General features: G+C 57.7%; 1 long non-coding RNA gene, 1 other non-coding gene and 1 pseudogene across 2 annotated transcripts, besides 10 other annotated features; 2 read left to right on the forward strand and 1 right to left on the reverse strand.

The window, feature by feature from the left end:
• Positions 741–910: an enhancer, noted in NCBI's record as "experimental_47566 CRE fragment used in MPRA reporter constructs". NCBI's record gives its function as "activates a minimal promoter by MPRAs in K562 erythroleukemia cells, with activity observed for both the introgressed and non-introgressed 17:77669234 or rs146414228 variant alleles {active_cell/tissue: K562}" and the evidence as "EXISTENCE:reporter gene assay evidence [ECO:0000049][PMID:34662402]".
• Position 826: a transcriptional cis regulatory region, noted in NCBI's record as "Neanderthal adaptively introgressed variant 17:77669234 (GRCh37/hg19 assembly coordinates) or rs146414228 in the experimental_47566 CRE". NCBI's record gives its function as "modulates activity of the experimental_47566 enhancer by MPRAs in K562 erythroleukemia cells {active_cell/tissue: K562}" and the evidence as "EXISTENCE:reporter gene assay evidence [ECO:0000049][PMID:34662402]".
• Positions 883–1,483: an enhancer, noted in NCBI's record as "H3K27ac-H3K4me1 hESC enhancer chr17:77669291-77669891 (GRCh37/hg19 assembly coordinates)". NCBI's record gives its function as "activates a minimal SCP1, AML or CMV promoter by ChIP-STARR-seq in primed H9 embryonic stem cells {active_cell/tissue: H9 hESC(primed)}" and the evidence as "EXISTENCE:reporter gene assay evidence [ECO:0000049][PMID:30033119]".
• Positions 2,852–3,171: an enhancer, noted in NCBI's record as "active region_12917". NCBI's record gives its function as "activates an Ori minimal core promoter by ATAC-STARR-seq in GM12878 lymphoblastoid cells {active_cell/tissue: GM12878}" and the evidence as "EXISTENCE:reporter gene assay evidence [ECO:0000049][PMID:35858748]".
• Positions 5,024–5,608: an enhancer, noted in NCBI's record as "H3K4me1 hESC enhancer chr17:77673338-77673922 (GRCh37/hg19 assembly coordinates)". NCBI's record gives its function as "activates a minimal SCP1, AML or CMV promoter by ChIP-STARR-seq in naive H9 embryonic stem cells {active_cell/tissue: H9 hESC(naive)}" and the evidence as "EXISTENCE:reporter gene assay evidence [ECO:0000049][PMID:30033119]".
• Positions 7,209–7,729: an enhancer, noted in NCBI's record as "H3K4me1 hESC enhancer chr17:77675499-77676019 (GRCh37/hg19 assembly coordinates)". NCBI's record gives its function as "activates a minimal SCP1, AML or CMV promoter by ChIP-STARR-seq in primed H9 embryonic stem cells {active_cell/tissue: H9 hESC(primed)}" and the evidence as "EXISTENCE:reporter gene assay evidence [ECO:0000049][PMID:30033119]".
• Positions 12,624–13,245: an enhancer, noted in NCBI's record as "H3K27ac-H3K4me1 hESC enhancer chr17:77680917-77681538 (GRCh37/hg19 assembly coordinates)". NCBI's record gives its function as "activates a minimal SCP1, AML or CMV promoter by ChIP-STARR-seq in naive H9 embryonic stem cells {active_cell/tissue: H9 hESC(naive)}" and the evidence as "EXISTENCE:reporter gene assay evidence [ECO:0000049][PMID:30033119]".
• MIR4739 (microRNA 4739) lies at positions 12,692–12,765 on the reverse strand. The gene has a single exon (NR_039893.1). It is a non-coding gene; the product is annotated as a microRNA 4739 (primary transcript).
• LINC02078 (long intergenic non-protein coding RNA 2078) lies at positions 12,782–17,833 on the forward strand. Its single transcript, NR_109783.1, has 2 exons — positions 12,782–13,172; positions 13,988–17,833. It is a non-coding gene; the product is annotated as a long intergenic non-protein coding RNA 2078 (long non-coding RNA).
• Positions 13,246–13,867: an enhancer, noted in NCBI's record as "H3K27ac-H3K4me1 hESC enhancer chr17:77681539-77682160 (GRCh37/hg19 assembly coordinates)". NCBI's record gives its function as "activates a minimal SCP1, AML or CMV promoter by ChIP-STARR-seq in naive H9 embryonic stem cells {active_cell/tissue: H9 hESC(naive)}" and the evidence as "EXISTENCE:reporter gene assay evidence [ECO:0000049][PMID:30033119]".
• Positions 16,655–17,204: an enhancer, noted in NCBI's record as "H3K4me1 hESC enhancer chr17:77684903-77685452 (GRCh37/hg19 assembly coordinates)". NCBI's record gives its function as "activates a minimal SCP1, AML or CMV promoter by ChIP-STARR-seq in naive H9 embryonic stem cells {active_cell/tissue: H9 hESC(naive)}" and the evidence as "EXISTENCE:reporter gene assay evidence [ECO:0000049][PMID:30033119]".
• Positions 17,834–19,246: 1,413 nt separating the features above from the next.
• Positions 19,247–19,342, forward strand: LOC124904133 (uncharacterized; annotated as a pseudogene).
• Positions 22,394–22,893: an enhancer, noted in NCBI's record as "H3K4me1 hESC enhancer chr17:77690645-77691144 (GRCh37/hg19 assembly coordinates)". NCBI's record gives its function as "activates a minimal SCP1, AML or CMV promoter by ChIP-STARR-seq in naive H9 embryonic stem cells {active_cell/tissue: H9 hESC(naive)}" and the evidence as "EXISTENCE:reporter gene assay evidence [ECO:0000049][PMID:30033119]".

The following is a 26,864-nucleotide window of genomic DNA, read 5'->3' on the forward strand; positions in this document are numbered from 1 at the left end:
CACTTGAGCCCAGGAATTCAAGACCAGCCTGGGCAATGAAGTGAGAACCTGTCTCTATAAAACATTTTTTTAAATAAAGATAATAAATCTGTGTTATTGTAAGCCACTTAATGTGTAGTAATTTGTTAGGGCAGTAACAAGTAACTAACACAGACTGTGACTCTCCGAGCACTGGGAGTCTCTCTCCACCCTGCCACCATCCTTCCCAGGAGCTTCCTTTCTTCTGTCCAACCTCAGGACCTGCTCCCTCAACAGACAGGAACTAAGGTGCACCATCGGGAGGCTGCACGCCATGAGTGTCTTAAGGGACAACACACCAGCAGAGACGCACGTGTGCCGTGGAGGTGGCAGAGGTACTCTGCGGATGGGAAGATGCATAGCTACTCAGGGCGTGCGTGGCCACACACTGTGGCAATTCCTACACCCACAATGCAGGCGGCTGGCCTGTGGGCTCTCACAAATACACACACACACGCACAGGTGTGCACGTGTGCAGGTGCCAGCTCCTTCCACCCAGCCCATCCCTGCTGGGAGCCAGAACGTACACCTGGACACCCAAGGAAGGGGGCGCTGCACGTGTCCTTTCCACCCTGGAGTCAGGTGCCAGCACCTCCCCAGATTCCCTCAGCCCCTCCCCAGTCACAGCTTGGAGTGTGCAGGCCCTGCTTGGAGGGCCATTCATCCGCCTGGTTTCTGAGAAGAGCTTTCGTGCCGTGGGCCTGTGTGGGCACCTGCACCCATGTGGACCTTCTGAAACCGGGAGGCTGTGCCACGTCTGTGGGTAGTTCGGTGCGCACACGCTGGATGGGCACACGTGTGTGGGCGCGTGCATGTGGGCATACAGTGGCACATGCGCACGTGTGACAGGGGCTAACAGGTCCTAGGCCTGAAGCCGCGTGGAATCTCGGAATCCTGAGGCCTCCTTTCAAGCACTTGTGTCATCCCCTACTGAGGTCCCTGAGTCACCATGATAGTTGGTGCCTGGCCTCCGAGTTGCCAGCCCAGCCCAGCCCTGCTCCCCTGGGGGGTGGGAAGTTCCCTCTGGAAGCTCCTGTCACAGCTGCACCTGAAAGGCCCAGCTCCCAGCACAGGCCCTGAGGGACAGCAGTGAGGACCAAGGCCAAGGAAGCTCCCATTTCCATGACAACAGCAGGCAGGGATCATAGGAGCTGCCAGAATCTGGGAGAGGCACGGAAAGACCCCCCAGAGATCCTCAGAGAGAACGCGGCCCCACTGGCACCTTGACCTCAGGCTTCTGCCCTCCACAACCCTGAGTGACCACATTCCCGTTGCTTCCAGCCACCCGTGTGGGGTCTTTTGTTACAGCAGTTGCAGGAAATTCACATGTGGTTTGGGCCCATCAGCCAAGCTCCCGTACAAACTGGCCCCCCAGAAACCACATGGATGGGGAGGGCCCCAGATCATAGCCAGGATGCAACCCACTCACAGGGGCCACACGCCCAGCCCTGCTGTTGTCCTTGGCAGGATGCCCTGTCATTCTGGTTCAAAAATGTGTCTGCTCCCTGCTGGAGCTGTACAAACACTTCCTCTCCGAGTTCGGAAGATCTTTCTGCATATCCGATTCTCAAGTTCAAAGAATGATGGAAACAAGAAACAGCCCCAAGCCTGAGATGGCAGAGCTGGAGCCAGCCCTCTTCCCTGGAGAGCCGGTGGAGGCTGGGCTGCAGGAGCCTGGGCAGAGGCTTGGGCCAGCACGGCGGCCCCACCCCTGAGGGTGAAGAGCAAGGCGGGAGGAAGAGGGCAGGAGCTGGGCTCTGCATGGTCACTGCAGGCTGACTCTCACCTGCTTTAGCAGGGTCAAAAATATGAGCAGGTCTTTGGGAATGAGAGCTGGCCAGGAATGGGAAAGCTCCTCCAAGAGGGACCAGAGGTGCCTGGGAGCAGGTTTCTAGAGTGTGTGTGCTCGCTCTTGCTCTCGCTCTCCTCTCTCCTCTCTCCTCTCTCCTCTCTCTCTCTCTCTCTCTCTCTCTCTCTCGCTCTCGCTCTCTCGCTGTCTCTAGCTGTCTTGCTACCTATCTCCCTCTGATACAGAAGGGAAGTGCTGGGAAGGGAAGGCATGGTCCCTTTAAATGATACAGAAGGGGGTTAGGGAAATGCTGGGTAGAGGGGGGCATGATCCCTCGCTAGGGCCCCACCCCCACAGGCCTAGGGCAAGGAGTCTAAATGTTGCATTTTCCAAAACCACCCTGGCCCGCCACGCCCCCATCCCGGGCCTATAAAAACCCGAGACCCCAGCGGGCAGACACACAGAAGCTGCTGGAGAGCGGGAGGAACACATGGGCAGAAGAAGACAAGTGGCCAAGCGGCCGGGACATGGACAGGACGTGGAGGGGAGCACGTCGGCAGCCCGACTCCACGGAAAAACCATCTCCCTTCTGGCTCCGCCATCTGCTGAGAGCTACTTCTCTACTCAATAAAACTTTGCACTCATTCTCCAAGCCCATGTGAGATCCGATTCTTCCGGTCCACCAAGGCAAGAAACCCTGGGATAAGGAAATCCCTCTGTCCTTGTGATAAGGAAGGGGGTCTAATTGAGCTGGTTAACACAAGCCGCCTACAGACGGCTAAACTAAAAGAGCACCCATAACACACACCCATCGGGGCCTCCCGAGCTGTAACACTCACCCCTAGACATGGCCTTGGGGTCAGAGCCCCACAGCCTGCCCGTCTTATGCTCCCCCAGAGGTTTGAGCAGCTGGGCACTGAAGAAGCAAGCCACACTCCCTGTCACACGCCCTGTGAGGGGGACAAGGGAACTTTTCCCGTTTCACCTCTCCCACCCTTTCCTTCTCCCTGCACCCCTTCCCTCTGCCTCCTTATGTCCCCACAATCCTCCCTGCCATCATCAGGGTTTCAAACAGACAGTCCCCTTGGCATGGAAGGAACCAGCAATGACAGTCATGTGACTCTAGGCAGCACCTTCAGCTCTAGAGACCCAGGTGCTTCCCCCTGGCCACGGTGAAGAGGGTGGAGATAAGGAAGGTCCCTTCTGAAGTCAGAACAGAAAAGTCCCCGAAGTTCCTGGTAAAACCCCCATCGAGGCGGTGGCTCAAGCCTGTAATCCCAGCACTTGGTGAGGCCGAGCCGGGCGGATCATGAGGTCAGGAGTTCGAGATCAGCCTGACCAACATGGTGAAACCCCCTCTCTACTAAAAATACAAAACTTAGCTGGGCATGGTGGCGGGCACCTGTAATCCCAGCTACCCGGGAGGCTGAAGCAGGAGAATCACTTGAACCCGGGAGGTGGAGGTTGCAGTGAGCCGAGATCACGCCACTGCACTCCAGCCTGGGTGACAGAGCGAGACTGCGTCTCAAACAAAAACAAAAACCCACCACCCAAGTCGTTTTCCTCAAAAGTGTCAGTTTGGGGTTTGTCTATTTACAGATCCTCAGCATCACGGAAAGGATGGGGGCAGCCATTCATTAATAACTCATAGAAGCCAGGGGACCAATTAGAACGGGTTTTCCATTTCAGGGCACGCCGGAAAAGCCACCGGGACCTGGAGCAGCCACTGCAGGAGCAGGTGGGGGTGGGTGAAATGGTGGTCAGAAAAAAAATCCCATAGAGGAGGAAACATTTCAAGAAAAGATATTAAAATAGAAAGCAATGATCCATTGCTAAACACTTCACATTTTTCCCAAAGTTCCCTGCAACTTGCTTCTGGAAGAGTAAATGGAAAACTTTGGGAACGTAATTTTAATTGTCTATTTCACACCCACGTGTCCTGCTCCCTCCCCGCCCCCACGCAGAAGCTGGGCCGTCTGCATCAAGACCCTCTTCCTCCAGCTCCAGCGGTGGCAGTTGTGGTGGAGTGACCGGGGACACAGCAAGCAGGCGGCAGCCCCATGCACGCGGGGAGCTGTCTGGCCTTCGCAGGGTTTTTATTGTATTATTTAACACCCAAGCCTTTCAGCATGTGCCTGCCGCACAGTTTATGCTCCCAGCAGAGGGACAATAACTGAAGGAATATTTGCAAAAAGCTGAGTTAAGTAAATATTTTATGCCCATTAATGTAATGGCTCAGGAATGATGTGTTGGGGCAGGCGGGCAGGGGAGCCAGTGCTGCCAATGTGCAGAGGGTGACAGGGGTTCCTGTGGGCCTCAGCCAAGCTCTGCTGACTCTCAGCCCACCTTTGAGGCCGCCTAGTCAGAGAGGGTGGAGGGGGTGTGTGGCAGGCCTCCTCCAGGAGAGAGCCACACACCCCCTCCACCCTCTCTGACTTGGCTTGGTTCCAGCAGAGTTGAACTAAGCACACCTGAAGCCCTGATGTCTCTACTTAAAAAGAGAAAACTTCCCATGAGCACACGCCCTTGGCTCAGTTAATGTGCTTCTCAAAGTAGGGTGCCCGGGGCATCAGCTGGTTAGAACCTCGAATTCTCAAGCCATGCCCAGACCCACGGGATGAGACGCTGTGGGGGTGAGACTCACGAGCTGTGTTACATGAGCGTTCAGGGGATTCCGTATGGTCGAGCGCAGACTCACTGTCCTGGGCCACCAGCTGTCCAGCTCCCATGTCCCTGTCCAAGAAGGCCCTTCCACCTTTCCTGGTGAAGCCACCCTGCTGACCACACCCACGGGCTGCGTCCGTCTCTTAGGTTCTAAGTATTTGACAAATTACATGATGACCCAGCTAGGGGGGTCAACTGTTCCCCACGCAGCATCTACAACCAGAGGATGGAGGCTGGGATTTACGTTCCAGCCCTGGACCCACCCCACTGGCACCCCAAACCTGCCCACTCTCACTTCAGACCTGCCCAATGTCACCCTGGACCTGCCCACTCTTACCTCAGACCCACCCACTCTCATCCTGGACCCGCCCACTCTCACCTCAGACCCGCCCACTCTCACCTCAGACCCGCCCGCTCTCACCTCAGACCTGCCTGCTCTCACCTCAGACCTGCCCACTCTCACCTCAGACCTGCCCACTCTCACCTCAGACCTGCCCACTCTCACCTCAGACCTGCCTGCTCTCAATCTGGACCCGCCCACTCTCAACCTGGACCCACCCACTGTCACCCTGGACCCGCCTACTCTTACCTCAGACCCGCCTGCTCTCAATCTGGACCCGCCCACTCTCAACCTGGACCCACCGTCACCCTGGACCCGCCCACTCTTACCTCAGACCCACCCACTCTCACCCTGGACCCGCCCACTCTCACCTCAGACCCGCCCACTCTCACCTCAGACCCACACCCTCACCCCAACCCTTGGTTCAGTTAACGTGCAAGGTGAGAGTGTGACTGTCATGGTCACCACGGACCTGCCCACATTCATGCTGGATCCACCCATTCCAACCCTGAACATGCCCGTTCTCACCCCAGACCTGTCCACTGTCACCATCACCCTGGACCCACCCACATTCATGCTGGACCTGCCCACTCTCACCCCAGACCCACCCACACTCTCACCCCAACTGGCCCACTGTCATGGTCACCCTGGACCTGCCCACTTTCATGCTGGACCCACCTACTCCCACCCTGGACCCGTCCACATTCACATGGGGCATCCTGCCTGCCTGGAGGGGACTGAGTCACTTAGGATGCACGGAAGCTGGGGTGCTGGTAGCTGTCTTGATCTATTTCACAGGTTTGGGGGACCCAACTGCACCCCAGCAGAGGGCCTGGAACAGGTTCCCTCAGCCTCACAGACAGGCGGCATCCAGTCCAGGGACTGTAGCCCTGACAAGGAGCCCCACCTGCCCAGGGCCCCCCAGCAGGCAGCGTCTCCCGGACTTCCTCCCCCACCGCAGGCCCTGGGATGGGGCATCTGAGGGAGGGATCTTTCTCTAAAGTCAGGCAGTTCCTGAAAACGATAAGGCAGCGTCTCCCCTCCCACAGTCAGGCTCAGAGTGGAAGGTCTGCATTTGGGGTCTGCCGCCCGGGGACAACAGGGAGCCCTGGAAATGACACGCCCCGCCCCCACCCTTCCCTGATGCCTTGCTCTGGAAGGTTCTTCCTCCCAGCCAGTCTCCTCCTGAAAAAGGAGTGCGGGCACTCTGCCTTGCTTCAGGAGGCCTAGAAAGAGGGGACAGGGCCTGGGGAGCGGGGGACAGGATGAGGGGGAGGGCAGGGTGGGGGAGCTGGAGGGGGTGTTGGGAAGGGCTCAGGGAGGGACAGGAGGTGGAGGCAGGGGTGGAGGACTGGGTGCTCCAGTCTGAATGTGTGTGTCCCCTCCAAAGTTCACCTGCAAACAGTCTCCAGCAGGATTGTGTTAAGAGCTGGGGCGTTTAGGAGGTGATGAGGGCCAGAGGGCTCCTCCCTCCTGCCTGTGCCCGGATTAAGGCCACACCAAAGAGGCTTCACACAGCACTGGACACCTTGTGTCCTTCACTTCCCGCCAGGGGAGCACAGAGCAAGAGGCACCATCCGGGAGCAGAGAGCAGCCCTCACCAGACACCCAGCCTGCCGGCACCTTGATCTTGGACTTCCAACCTCCAGAACTACAAGAAAATAAATGCCTTTTCTCATAAATTATCCAGTCTCAGGTATCTTGTTCTATAGCCCAAAAGGTCTCAGACATGAAGGAGGGGAGGGGCACAGGTAGGAGGGTGGGGGAGAGGAGGGATGCAGGTGGGAGGATGGCAGAGGGGAGGGGTGCAAGTGGGAGGGTTGGGGAGGGGTGCAGGTGAGAGGGTGGGGAAGGGGAGGGGCACAGGTAGGAGGGTGGGGGAGGAGAGGAGCACAGGTGGGAGGGTGGAGGAGGGGAAGGGCACAGGTGGGAGGGTGGAGGAGGGGAGGGTCACAGGTGGGAGGGTGGGGGAGGAGAGGAGCACAGGTGGGAGGGTGGAGGGGGGCATATGTGGGAGGGTGAGGGAGGAGAGGAGCACAGGTGGGAGGGTGGGGGAGGAGAGGAGCACAGGTGGGAGGGTGGAGGAGGGGGAGGGCACAGGTGGGAGGGTGGGGGGGCATAGGTGGGAGGGTGGAGGAGGGGAAGGGCACAGGTGGGAAGGTGGAGGAAGGGAGGGTGACAGGTGGGAGGGTGGAGGAGGGGAAGGGCACAGGTGGGAGGGTGGCGGAAGGGAGGGTCACAGGTGGGAGGGTTGGGGAGGAGAGGAGCACAGGTGGGAGGGTGGAGGAGGGGAAGGGCACAGGTGGGAGGGTGGCGGAAGGGAGGGTCACAGGTGGGAGGGTTGGGGAGGAGAGGAGCACAGGTGGGAGGGTGGAGGAGGGGGAGGGCACAGGTGGGAGGGTGGAGGGGGGCATAGGTGGGAGGGTGGAGGAGGGAAAGGGCACAGGTGAGAGGGAGGGCGAGGGGCACAGGTAGGAGGGGCATCTGTAGGATGCAGGAGCAGGGGCATCTGTAACCCCAGGCCTGGCGCCGTGAAACACTGGAGGCCACCAGGTGCAGGGAGATGGTGCTGGGTCAAATGAGCCTCTGCAGAGGATCAATGGCGGCCAGAGCCATTAGCCAGGAAAATGAGACAGAAGCGAAGGCCTGACAGGTGATCGATACCGGGTCACCCAGCGCAGACAGGAAAGGGTCCAGCGGAGGACACCAGGGGCCAGCGATTGACATCTCACCCTGAGGAGGCGGCCGAGCTGTCTGTCACACACACCCCCGGCCACAAGCCTCCCCCTTCAGGGACCTGCCGTCACTGACAGCATGGACTCAGTGTGGCCCGAGAGGACTGCAGGGACCACCAAATACCCGAGTCTCCTGGACACTGGGGCCCCCTGGGGGCGGGTTTCCAGAACAGCTGGCAAGCAGGGCACCCCAAACAAAGGAGGGCGTGGTGCACGCACAGGGTGCATGGGGACCCTGCAGGCCCGAGGCAGGGGCAGGTCTAGGAAGGAAGCGGTGCACACAGGCAGAGGAATCCAGGGCACTCCACAGCCAGGCGCAGGCTGGCCACCACTGGGACAAGCCACCCCGGCCCTACCTCCCACCCAGTTTCTCTCCACCTAAAGGTCAGGGGCCTGGGAGAGGCACGCGGGGGCCTCCAGTCCAATCCCACCCTTGCTGAGTGATAGGTGTGGCTCTCCGACAGCGGGAGAAGCATCCCTCTCCACCCACCCCAGCACTGGGGTCAGGAGGGAGGAGAGAGGGTGCTCCCACCCCTCCATTCCTGCAGGTTCTTGGCCACATGTGCCGATTTCATTTTGCTCGCTGGATTGCAAAGGCCCTCATGAGCGACTGAGAGCTGCCACTTCGATTTGCGAATCTCGCTGAGAAAAACGTGACATGCACGTTTCCACTGGGCACTGGAGAAAGAGCCAGGGGACTTGGGCAAGACAAAAATAAAACCAGTCAGAGTGGTGAACACGGGCAGGACGTCCACATTGCTCCTCTCTCCTCTGCAGACCCTAGTGGGCCAGTGGGGCCCTGGCCTCCTCCTCCTTCCCTCCCCTTCCTCCTCCCCCTCCTCCTCCCCTCTTCCTCCTCCTCCTTCTCCCCCTACCTCCTCCTCCTCTTCTTCTTCCTCCCTCTCATCCTCCCCCTCCTCCTCCCCTCTTCCTCCTCCTCCCCTCCTCTATCTTCCTCCTCCCTCTGCTCCTCTCCCCCTCTTCCTCCACCTCCCCTTCCTCCCACTCCTCCTCCACCCCTCCCCCTCTTCTTCCTCCTCCTACTCCTCCTCTGCCTCTTCCTCTTCCCCCCTCCTCCTCCCTCTCCTCCTCCTTCCTCCCCTTCCTCCCCCTCCCCCTTCTCCTCCCTCTACCTCTTCCTCCTCCCCCCTCCTCCCCCCCACCTCCTCCTCGTACCCCAGGCAGCCCCTTCAGGTCTCAGTCCCGTCAAGCTCAGACCTGGGACCCACATAGACCCGGGTCAGGTGCCAGCCCCTCTGCAAGACCCTTGTTGGGCCCCTGGGCCTCTCGGGTCCTTGCTGTCAAATGGGAGCACTAGTTGTCATGGTGACAACTCCAGCAGTGCCCTGGGGACTGGAGCGCATACCAGGTGGCCCAGCCTAAATGGATGGCTCTGAAAAGTTCTCTGGGCACAAGGGGTCCCGGGCTCCTCCTGGGAGAACACGAGGCCCTCCCTCCTGGCCTTCCAGACTCAACGGAGCTTCTCCAGGCTGCAGGGACAACAGGCAGAAACTTCTCCGAAGCCAAGAGCCTGGGGCAGAAGTGAGCAGCAGCCAGTGGCACCTGCAGAGCCGGGGCACCCGCAGGGTTCCCAAGAGAGCCTGGAAGATCTCAGCAAAGGCAGGAGCAGGAGAGACGTCGAGGGCGGATGAGGAGTGGACACGGTGGTGGTGAGAGGGGTCAGGAGGAGGAAGGCCAAGGCTGTCCACAGGGATGGGGCCAGCATCTTTCCATGCCCACAGCAGCCATGCCAGATGGGACCCCAGCCACAAGCCCGGGAAGGCCAGACGGGAAGCCCTACAACGGGAGGGCCAGGATGTGCCCGAGGGAGGGGCTCAGAGGCACCCCAGGGAGAAAGCAGAGTGGCTGGGCTCTCTGTGCCTGTTTCTCCACACACAAAAGGGGCGCAGGTTTGCAGCGCTGCAGGAGTGGGGGGTAGGAGGTGGCGTGGAGTCAGCCCAAGAGGCGTGAGCCTCGTAACAAGCAAGCAGTGCAGCTGTGGTGGTTGTTTCTGAGAATGCGTGGATCACAAAAAGGAGGCAGATGGTAAAAGTTAAAATGTAAAACAGGTGTGCAAAGCCAGGCATGGGGGCACAGCTACTTGGGAGGACCACTTGAGCCCAGGAGTTTGAGGCCAGCCTTGGCAACGTAGTGAGACCCTGTCTCCAGTAATTAAAATAAAATAAACAGGTGTTCAAATACGAGCTTGTGCTCGCGCGTTCACGGCGGCGCAATTCGTGGTGGCCAAAGGGTGGAAACAACTCAAATGTCCATCAAGGAAGAAAGGATCAATAAAATGTGGTCAGCGCAGACAGTGGAATATCACGCAGCTAGACAGAGGAGTGAAGCCTGACTCATGTCACCACACGGAAGATGCCAGAAAACATTTGCCCGATGAAAGAATCCAGATGCAAAAGGTGCATATTGTATGATTCCACTGATACACAATGTCCAGGATAGGCAGACCCACAGAGACAGAGAGCAAATGGGTGGGTGCCGGGGATGCAGACTGACCACTAATGGGTATGGGGTTTCCTTTGGGGTGATGGGAATGTTCTGGAACTACATAAAGGTGGTTGTATAAGGCCGTTCTTGCATTGCTATAAACAACCACCTGAGACTGGGTGATTTATAAAGAAAAGAGGTTTCATTGGCTCACAGTTCTGTAGGCTATGCAGGAAGCATGGCTGGGGAGGCCTCAGGAAACTTACGGTCATGGCAGCAGGTGAAGAGGAACCAGGCACATCCCACATAGCTGGAGCAAGAGGGCGAGAGGGAGGAGGGGCTATGGGAGCGACACACCTTTAAACAACCAGGTCTCGTGAGAACTCACTCACTATCACGAGAACAGCAAGGAGGAAATCGGCCTCCATGATCCAATCACCTCCTCCAGGCCCCTCCTCCAACCCTAGGGGTTACAGTTCAACGTGAGATTTGAGTGGGGACATAAATCCAAACTGTACCAGTGGTGGCTGCACGATACTGCATACGTGCTAAAAGCCACTGAATTGTTCACTGTAAAATGGTTAATTTTATATTATGAGAATTTCACCTGGATAAAATAAAATTTTAAAAATAAAGTTAAAACAACAGCAATGGCTGGGCACGGTGGCTCACACCTGTAATCCCAGCACTTTGGGAGGCTGAGGCAGATGTGTCACTTGAGCTCAGGAGCTTGAGACCAGCCTGGGCAACATGGCAAAATCCTGTCTCTACAAAAACATACAAAAATTAGGCGGGTGTGGTGGCGCACCTGTGGTCCCAGCTACTGGGGAGGCTGAGGTGGGAGGAACACTGAGGCTGGAAGGTTGAGGCTGTGGTGAGCTGGGATCGTGCCGCCGCACTCCAGCCTGGGTGATGAAGCAAGACCCTGTCTCAAAAATAGCAATAATAATAACAATAATAATAATAACAATAATGGCAGCGAGCACTCCGGAGGCGCTCACTCTGAGCTGAAGAGGGTTCTGAGGGCTTTGACCCAGTGAATTGCTGCAGGACCCTATGAGGTGGGAACTTCTCTGTTGCCTTTTCCCAGCTGAAGGAACCGAAGCTCAGACACGGTGAGTGACTTACCCAAGGTCACCCAGCCACTAAGAGGCCAAGGGGACAAGAGAACTGAGTGTAAGGAGGAAATCAGGAAGAGACTGACAGGAAGTGAGCAGGGGACAGTGCGCAGCTGTCCTCGTGATGGGCCCAGCCTTGAAGGCAGCGTTCCGGCTCCCAGAGCTGGCAGCAGGAAGACATTGCTGGAGGGAGCAAGAGGTGGGGCGGGCAGGAGGGCCACCTGAGCCCTGAGCCCTGAGCCCTCAGCGGGCTCCTTGGAGAGTGACCTGGACCTTAACATTGACCCTGGCACCCCGCCTGCTGTTCCCCATGACGCCCCACGCCCCCACCCTGCGTCTGCTCCTGTGACTTGAGGAAACGGACCGACCTCCTTTAAAGGAGGGGTTCCTGAGCCTGGGGAGCGTGACTTCCGAGCCTGTCCGAAAACACCAAACGCCAAAGACACCGAAGCTGTTCCACAGAAGCCGCAGCCGATCGAAAGCCATTGCTGCACGGGATTTTCTTTGGAATTGGTTTTTGGTTCAGGTATTTTTTGGATTAGCATCATCAACACTAGAACTCAACATGAGAAATCCTCCTGGCACCCTCAGACCCCCAGGATCCACCCGCAGCGCCCCACCCCTCGGGGGTCTAAGGACGGGGCCACGGGAGGTGCTCCCCACGCCTTAGCTAGACGCAAGGCCCTCCCGCAGGCTCCCGCAAGCCCATCAGGGCTGGGCGTTTCCCACCCCTTCCCACCCCACCCATCCACCTTCCGTCCAAGCAGGAGTGCAGCCTGCTTGGGCTCAGCGTCCCCTCTTCTGAGAAGCAGCCCGGCCCCATCCTGAGCGCCCCTGGGCCCACAATCCCTCCTCACGTGTGTGGGGCTGGCCGTTGATGTCGCCTGGGCTGGGGGTGCACCTGCAGCGCAAACACGTGACTAAGCATCTTCCTGTCCCGGGCCCTATCAGCGTTGGGCCCCAGGCAGCCCCTCCAGGGGCTACAGTCACCCACCCACCTACAAAGCCCCTCATCTGCAGCGGTGGCTTCATTCCCGGGACGCGCCCCAGGCTCTGCTCAGTCATGGCCCCCAGACCCTCAGGAGCCCCCGAAACATGATGACCTCCAGCCACGTGCCAGCTGCCAGGAGGAGGCTTCAAGACCCCAGATGAGCACCCGGCTGGCCATGCCCCAGGGACAGAGGACCCAGTGTGACAGAATCCGGCCTGGGCCACAGCCACCCACACAGTCCATCCCAGTTCAGCCCGAGGTGGACAAGAAAAGTCCCACCAGGGACTGGAGCAGATGGGGCGGGCTCCGGACCCCTGCCTGGTCCACCATCTGTCTTGCCAGTCGGTCCGTCTACCCAGGCAGCCCCTCCTCCCGGCCCACCATCTGCCCGGCCCTGCTAGGCCCTCCTCCTGGCTCCTCCAGGGCCCTCAGGAGGAGACAGAGCTGGAGCCAGGGCCCAGACCTCCACTGCCTTGGGCCCGCCCCATCTGGCACCTCCAGAAGAAGGGGGCGGCAAGAGCTTGGCCAGGGCAGGGGCACTCCAGGGCAGCCGAAGGCCCTTGCCAGCTGTCTCATGATGAGATGAGCAGAGGGAGGGGGAGGGGAGGAAGGGAGAGGCTCTGGGAAGACAAGGGCCCCTCCGCTCCTCCTCCCTTCTTCCTCCCCTGCCCACGTGGCCTGGGCGGGAGGGACACGCCGATGGGAACATCCCAGCTGGTCCAGGCCTCTGCTCCCCCCAGCTCCTCCTCCCTGGCGGGCAGCTCTTCTGGGCTCCTGAGGTGCTGCGCAGCCCCTTCCCTGGCCCTGGGACCCCCAGTGCCTGAGATGAAAGAGGAGTTGCTTCCATGGACGGTCCCAGTGCAAGCTGGGGGGCGCTGGCCTCAGGACACCAGGCATCCAAGACATAGGGACACCAGAAGCCCCGGCTCTGCCTCTGAGGTCCAGCAGCCCCAAAGCCCCTGCTCAGAAGCCAGCGATGGGAGGGCAGGGCCTGCCTGTGGGACCCATCATGGGCGCAGCAATCGCCAGGCCCTGGGCAGACAGCAGCACAGCCTGTGAGTCCAGGGCTGGGGTAAGTCGGCAAGTGCACCCCCGGAGGTGGAATGACAGGAGCTCCTGTGGAGGACGCAGGCGACCCCCGCCCCTCACTCCACTGTGAGGCCTGAGGATGTACAGGGGCAGCTCTCCCTGGCTTATGAAACGCCCCCACCCTGCTGCCCCTCTGGGTCCTCCTCACCCTGTGGCCTGCAGGGTCAGGAGCATGACTTTGGTGTCAGGAGAGAGGCTGGCTCCTGCCTGTGGCGGGTGTTGGGGGAGGAGTGGGGTTCATTATAAATTACGCTCCCCTCGAACCCGGCTGTTAGGTGAGGGCAGGGCTGGGATTCACCCTGCTCTCTGCAGGGGAGGGTCAGCCCCCAGGTGCTCCTGGGTGGGTCTCCACGGCAGGCCAAAAGGGCAGGCCCTGGGCATGTCCACCCCCTGTCTCTGGTCCCACAGCCCCCTACTTGCCACCTGCCCTGAGCAGCCCCCAGGAGAGCACCCGCAGGGAGGATGCTGAGGTGCTGGAGGGCAGGAGTCCCAGCTGAGGCTGTGACCCCAGCTGTGCTCCCCGTTCCCTCTTAGGACCAGCAAAGACCCAAGGACAGGCGGCCAATCAGGGCCCGGTGTTTACCCCTCCTCCCCCACCCCCATCACGGGCCTCCCGCAGGACCCCCAGGAAGAGCAGCTTCCATTGACCAAGGTCGGGGGACGCCCTCCCGCTGACACTCACTCTCCACGGATCCTGGAGCCCACGAGTCCCCTCCCCACCTCCACTGCACTGGGCCCCCCGCAGGCCCTGGTGGGGGTGGCCACGGATAACCACACAAACATGCATTTTCCTTGTAGGAGCAGGCAGGTGACAACCAGTGTCCTACTTTCCTGCATTAAAACACCCAAATCAACAGGACGGAGAAGGCCCGGAAGAGGGGACCTGAGGGAGCCAGCCGGGCGCTCAGCCTGCTTCGCTGGGATGCTTGTCGAGGTCGGGACGGCACCACCAAACTCACCTCTGTGCGCCCTGCGGGGCCCAGGAGACTCGGTCCTCCCTGGGCTCCCCCAGGCCTGGGGTGGACGTTGGAATAAAGTGGGGACAACACGATGAGAGACCCCAGCCCTGGAGGTGCCCTCGGCCAAAGCCCGAGATCAAAGCTGGGAGATTCGTGGCTGGACAGCACCACCTGGTGGACACGTTGGAGATTACCAAAGCCGAACAGTCAATTCGTTCTTGGTTCTGGGATTTTCTTAATTGGGTCTTAGCTGGGCCTTCCTTTCTCTTTCCCCAGTAGCAGGGGCTTTGTGACTATCAGAAACACCTGCCAGGCCTGGGCAATATGGCGAGACCTCATCTCTACAAAAAAAAAAAAAAAAACACAAAAATTAGTGAGGCGTGGTGGTCCCAGATACTCAGGACACTGAGATGGGAGGATCGCTTGAACCCGGGAGGTCGAAGCTGCAGTGAGTCGTGATCATGCCACTGCACTCCAGTCAGGGTGACAGAGAGAGACCCTGTCTCTAAAGAAAGAAAAGGCCGGGAGCAGTAGCTCACGCCTGTAATCCTAATACTTTGGGAGGCCGAGGCGGGAGGATTACCTGAGGTCGGGAGTTCGAGACCAGCCTGACCAACATGGAGAAACCCCATCTCTACTAAAAAATACAAAAATTAGCCAGGCATGGTGGCGCATGCCTGTAATCCCAGGTACTCGGGAGGCTGAGGCAGGAGAACCACTTGAACCTGGGAGGCAGAAGTTGCAGTGAGCCGAGATCACACCATTGCACTCCAGCCTGGGCAACAAGAGTGAAACTCCGTCTCAAAAAAAAAAAAAAAGAAAGAAAGAAAGAAAAGAGAAGAAGTCCTTGTCTTCTAATAAGATGTTGTTGGTTTCAGAGAGCCCAATCCAGGCACTTCAAACAAGGCAGGGAAATCAATGGCCCTGAAGAAAGTTTCTCTTCGACAAGCCCCTCCCTCCCTGACACTGGCATTCTGGCATTCACCCACCAGCCCCTCCGTCCCTGACGCTGGCACCCTGGCATTCACCCACCAGCCCCTCCCCTCCCTAATGCTGGCACCCTGGCATTCACCCACCAGCCCCTCCCCTCCCTGATGCTGGCACCCTGGCATTCACCCACAAGCCCCTCCGTCCCTGACGCTGGCACCCTGGCATTCACCCACCAGCCCCTCCCCTCCCTGATGCTGGCACCCTGGCATTCACTCACCAGCCCCTCCCCTCCCTGACACTGGCACCCTGGCATTCACCCACCAGCCCCTCCGTCCCTGACGCTGGCACCCTGGCATTCACCCACCAGCCCCTCCCCTCCCTGATGCTGGCACCCTGGCATTCACCCACCAGCCCCTCCCCTCCCTGATGCTGGCACCCTGGCATTCACCCACCAGCCCCTCCCCTCCCTGACACTGGCACCCTGACATTCACCCACCAGCCCCTCCCCTCCCTGATGCTGGCACCCTGGCATTCACCCACCAGCCCCTCCCCTCCCTGACGCTGGCACCCTGGCATTCACCCACCAGCCCCTCCGTCCCTGACACTGGCACCCTGGCATTCACCCACCAGCCCCTCCCCTCCCTGATGCTGGCACCCTGGCATTCACCCACCAGCCCCTCCGTCCCTGACACTGGCACCCTAGCATTCACCCACCAGCCCCTCCCCTCCCTGACACTGGCACCCTGGCATTCACCCACTGTCTGGGGCAACTACCCTTTCCTCCCACCACTGATGGGACGGCACCCTGGCACCCTGGCCTACCAGTTTTGAGGGGAAAAAAATTAGAAATCTTTGGCCAAAGAGGGGACAAATTGAGCCTAAAATCAAGCCTTGGTGTCTCACTTTTTAAATCTACTTTTACCTTTTGTGTATTGGTTGTGTGATTTTTTGTGTACTCATTGTGTATGATTGCTGAATACACAATGAATACACAAAAGCTATAAATAGATTTAAAGAGAGAAAGCAAACCAAAACCCATCGGTAATCCACTGGAAAAACAAGCCTCCAACTCTATTCAGAACATTGTCAATTAAAAGAAAAGAATTAAGAATTTCCCTTTTAAACTATATTTCAGGATAACTCAATAACTCTAGTGGACAACAGCAAGTATTTTTGGTTTTTGTTTGTTTGGTTTCTTTTTTTTGAGATGGAGTCTTGCTCTATTGCCCAGGCTGGAGTGCAATGGCACAACCTCGGCTCACTGCAGCCTCTGTCTCCTGGGTTCAAGTGATTCTCCTGCCTCAGACTCCTGAGTAGCTGGGATTACAGGCGCCCGCAACCAGGCCCTGCTAATTTTTTGTATTTTTAGTAGAGTTGGGGTTTCACCATGTTGGCCAGGCTGGTCTCAAACTCCCGACCTCAGGTGATCCACCCACCTCGGCCTCTCAAAGTGCTGGGATTACAGGTGTGAGCCACCACACCCAGCCTGTTTGGTTGTTTTATTTAAGAGACAGGGTCTCGCTCCATCGCCCAGGCTGAAGTGCAGTGGTGTAATCACAGCTCACTGCAGCCTTAACCTCTTGGGCTCAAAGGATCCTTCTGCCTCAGCCCCCGAGTAGCTGAGACTACGGGCGCGCACCACCACACCTGGCTAATGTTTTATTTTTTTGTAGAGATGGGGTCTTGCCATGTTGCCCAGGCTGGATTCAAGCTCCTGGCCTCTCTCACCTTGGCCCACAAAAGCTCTGGGATTACAAGCGTGAGCCACCGTGCCCAGCCTTTTTTGTCGTTGTTGTTTTTAACAGAACAATTTCAGCTACTCATTGTGAAGGAGATGAGATCATGAGAGAAACCATGATTTTGCCACCTCTCATGACATAAGTATTTCTCGCAAGGGTCATGGATGAGATCAGTAATGACAAAACTAGGGCATCACAGGGTGGATCCGGGCTATGACCACCTGGACCCACGGGGCACACTTAGCATCACAGGGTGGGCCCAGGCTGTGGCCACCTGGACCCACGGGGCACACTTAGCATCTCAGGGTGGGCCCGGGCGATGGCCACCTGGACCCACGGGGCACACTTAGCATCAGAGGGTGGGTCCGGGCGATGGCCACCTGGACCCACAGGGCACACTTAGCATTACAGGTGCTTCCATGTGGCTCTCACAGCTCTGCCCACGAAGGCTTCTGGCAAAGAAAGATGAGCCTGAATCTAAGGGCGTTTCTGCGGCACAGCTTCCATTTGCAGGAGACACGGGGCGAGGCGACACCACAGAGAGGCAAACAGCAGCGCGATAGGCCACACATTTGCAGGACAGCTGATCTGGTTTCTGCAACAAATCACAAGTGGTGGGAGGAGCAATGGGGGTCGGGGGCGGCGCCTGATCTAGAGTAAGAGAGGTTCAAGAGGCGCCACCACAAAACTTAAACTTTGGGCCTTGTTAGGAACCTGTGTGTTCCATCTGATGGACGTAAGCAAACAATCAGGGGAATGTGATTCTGGATGGGGCCTGAGCGGGTGCCAAGGAATGACTGTTAATTTGAACATTGCCCTAAGGGAACCGCAAGTGTGTTCCAGAGTTTCCCGTACTTGGCGCCTTGCAACCTGAAGTTCATAGGAAGAAAATTTCAGAACGTTTTTGCTACAGGATGGAAAGTGCTTCAGCCACAGGGGAAAAGCAAAGAGAAAGACAACAGCAATGCATGAAACAAGTGTGGCGATTATCGATAAAGTATGTGTGGTGATCACTGATCACGTGTGTGAGTTTATTTGAAAACTTACATTAAAAAATTTTGAGGCCAGACACGGTGGCTCACGCCTGTAATCCCAGCACTTTGGGAGGCCGAGGTGAGCAGATCACCTGAGATCAGGAGTTCAAGATCAGCCTGGCCAACATGGTAAAACCACATCTCTACTAAAAATAAAAATAAATGCAAAATAAGCCGGATGTGGTGGCAGGTGCCTATAATCCCGGCTACTCAGGAGGCTGAAGCAGGAGAATTGCTTGAACCCGGAAGGCGGAGGTTGCAGTGAATCAAGACCGTGCCATTGCACTCCAGCCTGGGCAACAAGAGTGAAACTGTGACTCAAAAAAAAAAAAAATTTTTTTTTTGAAAAGAGACTAGGCATGGTGGCTCATGCCTGTAATCCCAGCACTTTGGGATATCAAGGCAGGAGGATTGCTTGAGGCCAGGAGATCGAGACCAGCCTGGGCAACATGGTGAGACCCTCGTCTCTTAAAAAAAAAAAAAAAATTTGCCTCCCAAGACACATGCCTGTAGTCCCAGCTACTTGGGAGACCTAGGAGAGAGGATTGCCTGAGGCTGGGAAGTTGAGGCTGCAGTGAGCTATGATCAAGCCACTGCACTCCAGCCTGGGTGACAGAGCAAGACTCTGTCTCAAAAAATAAACAAAAATGAAGAAAGACATAACCTTTCTCTTACAGACATGATCAGGCATCATGGAAATCTTATTGCAGAAGTTGCTTGCCCTTCACCCCTGAGCCTCACCTCTCTGTTTCAGGGGATCCGAGTTTAGGGAAGGAAAGTCGAGGGGGCCATTGCTTCTCCCTTGTGGCTGCTGCGCCCACAGCCATGGGCCCCTCACGCTGGGGCTGGGTGCCTGAGCAGAGTCCCTGTGCAGCCCCCACCAAGCTCCAGCATCCTGGACACCTCACGCCAGCCCTCCTGGACTTTGTGCTGGGGATGAGGTCAATATGACAGCCCCCCTGAGGTCTGGTCGCTCCCACACACCCTCCACAGTGGGCAGAATGGTGCCCCCCAAAAGGCCCACATCCTAATCCCGGGACTGTGAATGGGTGACTTTTCATGGCAAAAGGGACATTGCCAGTGTGACCGAGGGTCCTGCGATGGGAGACTCCCCAGGATCATGCAGGTGAACCCAATGGCATTACAAGGGCCCCTGTGAGAGAGAGGCGGGGGTCAGAGCAGACGTGGCTCGAAAGCAGAGGGTGTGGTGACGCCCCAGCCTGGGACTGAGGCCCAGAACGCGGTGGCCTTCAGAAGCCGGGAAAGGCCAGGAGACGGATCTGCCCCCAGCCTCCAGAAGAAGCCAGCCCTGCTGACACCCTGGCTTTAGCCCAGCGCGGCCCCATGGGACTTCTGACCCCCAGAACTCTAAAATAATAAATTGGCATTGTTTTGATCCTTCTGTGGCTGATATGTGTGATGAGGGGGTTTTCACACTCTTGCGTGGGACGTGAAACGTCTTTAGAACAGTGGCACGTTACCTGTCTTACATGGGGAAAAAAGAGGAAAAATAAATACATTTGCATTGTTTTAAACCGCTAAGTTTGTGGTCACGTGTAACAGCAGAAACAGCAAACGGATGTGCCCTCCGAGGCTCCCCTACATGCCTGCGAAGCTCGGGGACGCTGGGGAGGGTCACCTTGGCCATCTGGGAGCAGGTGGTACATCAGGACCCTCCCTCCCTCATCACCACCCTTCCTCCCCCTTCGCCATCCTCAATGGCACGGGAGCCAACCCACAGTGAAGCGGCCGGACAGGCAGGCTGTGCTAATTCTCTGCAAGGCAGAGCTGTTCCTCCAGCCTCAGAATGCAGCCAGCCCCTGCACGGCAGCCTCAAGGGGACAGGACCCCCGTGCTCTCTCCTCTCCTCTTTCCCCTGGCCCCGGCCCTGCCTCTCTGCTCCCTGCCCCCCAGCCCCACTGCCTTGGGCCTCCCTTGAGCTCCCAGGACAGGTCAGCAAATTGCTATGTGTGCATATTTTCTAGGGAGAGTCCACAACCATGGTCAGAGTCCCCGAGTCCAAAAAGAGACAGAGACATGGCCTCAAGTGGCTCCTTGGGCCCCAGGTTCTGAGCTGGAATTGGATTCCCTGAGCCAGCTCTTAGTCCACGGTGACAGGCATCTGCTGATGTAGCCTCCTCTTATCTTCCCCAGAAACCAGATTAGACGCGGCCAGCAAAAAGAATATTCTCAGCTGGCAAAACGCTTTCACCGGCCACCAAAGGCCCCCCGTCCCTCCAGCCCATGGAGGGCACGGTGCTCTCTCATCCAGATGGGCTCCGGGCCCTGTGCCCCACATCCCGGGAGTGAGCCTAGGCCCTGCGCTGCGTTCATCGTTTGGGAGCGTTGTGGGGTGTAGGTTTCCACCCACATCCAGACCCTTGAGTCCTCAGGAGCAAGGACTGGCCTCTCTGGTTTCCCTTCAGCAGGTGCTGAATCAATGCCCGGGAACCGAGGCGACCCATGAGGTGACAGAGGCTGAGCTGGAGAAGGCTCACCTGAGACCTGCACAGATTCAGGCGTTATCGCCGCCAAGGCCCAGCAAAGGAAGCGAGGCTGCCGTGGACACAACTCATGGCTCAAACTGGGGCGGCCCGAATGTTCCTTCGTGGGGCTCCGGGGCTGGTAGAGGGGGGTCTATGCTCTTCCCCCTGATCTTTTGGCAGGTCCTGGCTCACCGGGGCTCAGCCCCACCCTCCAACGCACCAGGTGTCACAGGGCACCTGCTCAGTGGAGCCTGTTGCTGTCCAGAGACTGAAGGTGGTGATGATGAGGCCAACACCGATGGCCTTGGGACCAACATCAAGGTGTTTTCCTACCCAAGGACTGCACCAGAGGGACACCCCTCCCCGCCACACACACACACACACACACACACACACACATGAGATCCTGTCCCCTGATGGGGGAGGTAAGGGGGAGCAGGCCCTGCAGTGACCTGTTGGCCATCTCTTATCCACCTGACGTGGCCAAAGGTAGCCACGTTATCTCCCATAGCATGTCCTCTCCTCCGTATCAGGACACAGTAGACATCCAGGTGCCTATAAAATAGACGTTTCTGGAGATAGCAGACCCTTGCAGGCTCTCCGGAAAGACTCTGTGATAACAGCCCTGGTGAACAGAGAAGCCCTTAGCCACACGGTGTCCAGGGGCCCCACCACACCTCTGGCCTTTGGACAAAGTCAGCACAAGCCACTCCCACCCCACCCACCTCCTTCGTGCATTCTGCAGCTGCCACTCCCTGCCCACCAGGGCGACCAGACGCTGGCTGGAGCCAGGGCAGGGGCGGGCACTCTTCACCGTTTCCACAGGAAATCCCAGACCCTGTCCCCGCAGCCTGGCACTCAGACAGCTGCTCCCACTCTCCCCCTGCCCATGGGAGCTCAGCCTCTGGGGCAAGAGGGGACCCTGTTTACACCAACACACCTAGGAAAAACCTTGGGGAAAATTCCAGGCCTGAGTCCCCAGTGTCCCCAGAGTCCATGGCTGGTGGCAGAGGGCCAAGAAGATAGTGACAACGAGGATTTATACCCCAGCAATGAGGGGACAGCAACAAGGCAGCTTCTCTGCAGGTCCACACAGGAAAGGAAACCCACAGTGCGGCTCCGTGCAGCAGGGGCTCTGAGTGACACTCGCAAGGCCATGGCACCAGGCAGGGGACCCCCCCACCGGAGGGCATGGCTCAGCAGAAGCCGGGAGAGGGTGGGTCCTGGGATCCCAGCCCAAAGCAGGCAGTCAGGAACTGAGTGACCGCGGGTACCCTGGGGGTACAGGGCAGAGGGAGGAGAGTGTCTCCGAGGCCCCCTTGCCATCCCTCAATGCCAAGTCCAGCAAAGGTGGTTTTCTGGCGCCAACTAGCAGGCACTGACCCCCCTCGTATCCCCAACTCGTGACCCAGCCACCTTTCCCGGGGGCTGAGTGGCTCTGAACAGGGGTAGAGCCGTGGGGCAGTGTGGGGCTGACACCCAGGAGGCGGTGGGGGAGGCGCCCACTCAGGCCCTCGCTGCCCGGGGAAAAGGCTGCTGCATGCAAAGCACGCTGACGCCAGAGCCTTCGGCAGAGGAGGGGGAAATTGTTTATATCTCACCCTCCTTCTTACCATGGGCCTCCTGGGGGCTGCTGGCCCTGGGTGAGCAGGACGGACCAGGACCCGAGATGCCTCAGAGGGACACTTCTTGGGCAGGAGGACAGCACAGGCCATGGAGTCCCAAGGGGAGGGGGAGGGCTGTCACACTGGGCCCCGGTGGGTCCTCTGCAGCATGACAGTCTAGCCTGCCCCTGGCCATGCTGAGCCATGTGGCTCTCCTCTCCCAGACCCTGTGGTGACAGGCAAGGGCACAGGGGTGGCGGGGCAGAGGCACTGTTGAAAAACCTGCCCAAGGGCCTGCCCTTGGCATCTCCTGGACCCACCCTCATCTTCCCCGAGGCTGTCCGAGTGCTTTCCCGGGTGGTCTGTCCTCAGTGGGAATGCGGCAAGCCTCCCCCTTGTGCCTGGTATAGCCCTACCTGCTGGGGGAGGGGACACTAATGATCACCCCCAGCTCATAGGCACAGAAGGGAGGCCTGGGGCAGGGGTAGCCCAGGGTCGTGGCTGAGCCACTGAGAAAAGCTCAGACCCCCAACCCCCTCAGCTCTTCCTCCCCCAGGTTCCTAACCACGGCCCGACCTCCCTGGTCCAGTGAACGTCCCACTCCGCATTGCATGCTCCCCTCTGGGTTCCTCCAAGGTTCTCAGAGTCCAAGCCTGGTGATCACCAACAAAAATCTCTGCAAACAGCAGATTCCTACACAGATGGCCCTGCCTTAGGATGGCTCCACCGACGGCCTCTGACTCCACGATGGTAAGAATGCGGCCAGAACTCAGCAGCAACGGCACTTGAGTCCCACACCACCATGTTCACTTTCAGTACAGTGTTCGACAAATTGCACAAGAAAATCAACACTTGATTAGAAAAATAGCTCGTGAGCCGGGGACAATGGTTCACGCCTGTAATCCCAGAACTTTAGGAGGCCAAAGCAGGAGGATGGCTTGAGCCCAGGAGTTCAAGACCAGCCTTGGCAACATGGCGAGACCCCATTTCTACAAAACAAAACGAAACTTTTTTAAAATTAGCCAGGCGTGGTGGCACATACCTGTAGCCCCAGCTTCTTGGGATGCTGAGGCAGGAGGATCATTTAAGCCCAGGAGTTTGAAGCTGCAGTGAGCTCTAATCACACCACTGCACTCCAGCCTGGGTGGCAGAGTGAGAGTCCGTCTCAAAAAAAAAAGCAGACCTCATGTGAGCTGATTTTGTCCACCTAGAGGCTAATGGGAGTGTCCTGAGCACACATCTGAGGTCGGCTGGGCTGAGCTGGCCGGGCGGTTAGGCACACTAAATGCACTTTTTTTTTTTTTTTTTTTGTGATACAGTCTCACTGTGTCGCCCAGGCTGGAGTGCAATGGCACCATCTCGGCTCACTGCAACCTCCGCTTCCTGGGTTCAAGCGATTCTCATGCCTCAGCCTCACGAGTAGCTGGGATTACAGGCACGCACCACCCCGCCCAGCTAATTTTTGTATTTTTAGTAGAGACGGGGTTTCACCATGTTGGCCAGGCTGGTCTCAAACTCCTGAGCTCAAGCTATCTGCCTGCCTCGGCCTCCCAAGGTGCTGGGATCCCAGGCGTGAGCCGCAGTGCCCGGCCGGTAAATGCATTTTTGACAGGATATGTTCCACTTGCGACAGGTTTACAGGGACCCCAGCATGAATGGAGGAGCCTCTGTGTGCCATCCGGAGCCCAGCAGAGCACAGGGCTTGTTAAACTCCTGCTGCTCACAGAGGGCATCACCCAAAATCACAAAGAGGACCGGACAGAGCCACAGAACCCCCCACTACTGCCCAGTGGCCCCCAAGCTGCACCAGGGCCTGAGCCCCCAGAGACTACAACTCAGGCCTTGCTGTGTGGAGACCCCAGAGGCAGGGGCTGCACTGAGCCTGCACCTCTCTGTCCGGCCCTGCCTGTGCCCCGCTCTCCAGGGGTGAAGGCGCCTCCCCATTCTGGTGCTCCTCAAAATCAGCCTCAGGACCTTGGAGTTCATTGTCATGTCATAGGCAGCTGGGGCCATTGAACACTTGAGTTGTTTCCACTTTTTTTTTTTTAAGTCGGATTCTCCCTCTTGTCGCCCAGACTGGAATGCAGTGACGTGATCTTGGCTCACTGCAACCTCCGCCTCCCGGGTTCAAGCGATTCTCCCGCCTCAGCCTCCCAAGTAGCTGGGACTACATGTGCCTGCCATCATGCCTGGCTAATTTTTGTATTTTTAGTAGAGACAGGGTTTCACCATATTGGTCAGGCTGGTCTCGAACTCCTGGCCTCAGGTGGTCCACCCGCCTCAGCCTCCCAAAATGCTGGGATTACAGGCGTGAGCCACCACGCCCAGCCTGTTGCCACATTTTTGCTTTTGTGAATAAGCTGCTATGAACACCTGTGTGCAAGTATCTCTTTGAGACCCTGCTTCCGATTCTCTTGGGCGTATACCCAGGAGTGGTACGCATGAACAAATAAACAAGGGACACGCCAGGCAAGCCTGTAATCCCAACATTTTGAGAGGCTGAGGCAGGAGGATCCCTCGAACCTAGGAGTACAAGACCAGCCTGAGCAACACAGGGAGACCTTGTCTCTACAAATACATTTTAAAAATTAGCTGGGCGTGGTGGTGCACACCTGTGGTCTCAGCTACTCAGGAGGCTGAGATGGGAGGATGGCTTGAGCCCAGGAGGTCGAGGCTACACAGTGAGCCGTGATCTCACCACTGTACTCCAGCCTGGGTGACAGAGCGAGATCCTGTCTCAAAAAATAAATGTAAAAAAAACACAGGACAGGCCGGGCGTGGTGGCTCACGCCTGTAATCCCAGCGCTTTGGGAGGCTGAGACAGTGGATCACGAGGTCAGGAGATCGAGACCATCCTGGCTAACACGGTGAAGCCCCATCTCTACTAAAAATATAAAACATTAGCCAGGCATGGTGGCAGGCATCCGTAGTGCCAGCTACTCAGGAGGCTGAGGCAGGAGAATGGCATGAACCCAGGAGGTGGAGCTGGCAGTGAGCCGAGATCACGCCACTGCACTCCAGCCTGGGCAAGACTCCATCTCAAAAAAAAAAAAAAAAACAGGACACAGGACGGTCACAGATGGGCATAGACTCACACCTGGAAATTCTAGGTGTGAGCACACAGGCTTCCAGAGAGGAGGAAGGTGGGTCGTCAAGCATATGGGTATTTTATAGGTTGAAGCGTGGTCCCCCAAAATGATATGACCCTGTCCTAATTCCCAGAATGTGTGAATATGGCCTTTTTTGGATGGAGGGCCTTTGCAGATGGAATTAAGTGAAGGATGAGGAGATGAGGTCATCCTGGATTATTCAGGCAGGCCCAACATCCAAGGGCTGGTGTCCTTATAGGAGTCATACAGACAGACACAGAGAAGGCCTCGTGAGGATGGTGGCTAAGCAGGAGGGATGCAGCCACAAGCCAAGGACGCCCAGGACACCAGAATGCATGACTGCTGCTTGAAGCCACTCAGCATGTGGTCATTCATTACATCAGCTAAGCCAGGTCTGCACACACCTGCAAAGCAGGAACTCCGGAGCAGAAGCCAGACCCAAAGAGGGACAGTTTCCCCTCTGGCCAGGACCTCACCCCATCAACCCAGCTGCCCACGAGGCTGCTGCTCAAACATCCCAGGCCTACAGCTGCCAGCCTGTCCTGGGCTCAGCCGAGGGAAGAGGGAGCTGTGAACAACTCAGCCCTGGGCCCCTGCAGGGAGCCAATGACCCCCTCCCTTTCTCCCTCATGCATTCATCCCTTCATTCATTCATTCATTCATTCATTCATCCATCCATTCATCACTCCTTCAGTAAACAGGCCTGGCACCTCCCACGCGCCTAGATATGAATGCAGTATCAATGTGTCCCTTTCAGGGGCCCACAGTGGGTGGGTAAGCACACCCACAAATTCATAACTCCAGAGGGGACAGGAGGCCCAACAGAAGAATCACAAGGGAAAGCCACAAGGGCCTCAGCTCTGCCTGGGGCAACAGGGAGAAGCCCCCTAGACTGGTGTCTGGAGGCCCATCCTGGACTGACGCAGAGGCTTTCCTGATGGGCAAAGAAGGAGGCCTCCCTCTGGTTTGTGAAGGAGATGGTGGCACAGAGAGCTGGAGGTGGGATCCTGGGTTTTGTCCTCCAGGCGATAGACACAGGAGGGGTGAGAACAGGCTCACCTTTATCAAACTTTGGTGGAAAATTGAAATTGTGTTCCAGGACAAGGACCAAGAAAGTCTGATGCTGGCCATGTTCAGGCTGTGCTGCTCTGAGATACTGGGGCAGGCGGGCTTGGCAAGGTGGCCCCCATCCTTCTCTCCCCATGTCCCCCTGCTCCTGCTCCTGCTCCATGTCTCCCCACTCCCAGCTCCTCAGTGGCCAAGTTTGGCGTCCTTCAAGAAGTGGCCGAAACCTCTAAAGGAACTTCACCCCGCAGGGCAGGCCCTGCCCAAGGATGTCTCCACCACCCAGAGTCCAGTTCCGGCCCTCGACACCCCACCCCCATCCCAGAGTCTGGAATGATGCAGCCCCCAGCTCCTGGGGTCCCCACGTGGAGCCCCTGCTCCCAGCAAACCAGCGAGGGAGGCCTGGGGGGAGGGAGGGGCTAAGAGGGAGGGGAGCGCCTGGCCGTCCCCAGAGAGTACAGCTAACCCACAGCACATAATCCTGTTAAAAAATTAATCCTCATTTAGCCGGGAGGCAAGGCAGCCGCTGAGATAAAGCCCCTGAGAAGTAATAAAAGGCAACAGCAATTGATAAAGTGGTGAGGCCGCTCATAAAACCCTGCTGCAGTGAAGGTCGGGCAGGCCCCAGGAATCGGAGAGTAACCACTGCCAGGTGGGGGCGGGGGGCATTGCTTACAAGCCCCAGCCCCTGCAGAGGACGACCCCCTTGGGCAACAGAGCTGATGCTGATGGTGGACAGAGGGAGAAA

This window comes from Homo sapiens, chromosome 17 (genome assembly GCF_000001405.40).
Source record: "Homo sapiens chromosome 17, GRCh38.p14 Primary Assembly".
Classification (NCBI taxonomy): Eukaryota; Metazoa; Chordata; class Mammalia; order Primates; family Hominidae; genus Homo; species Homo sapiens.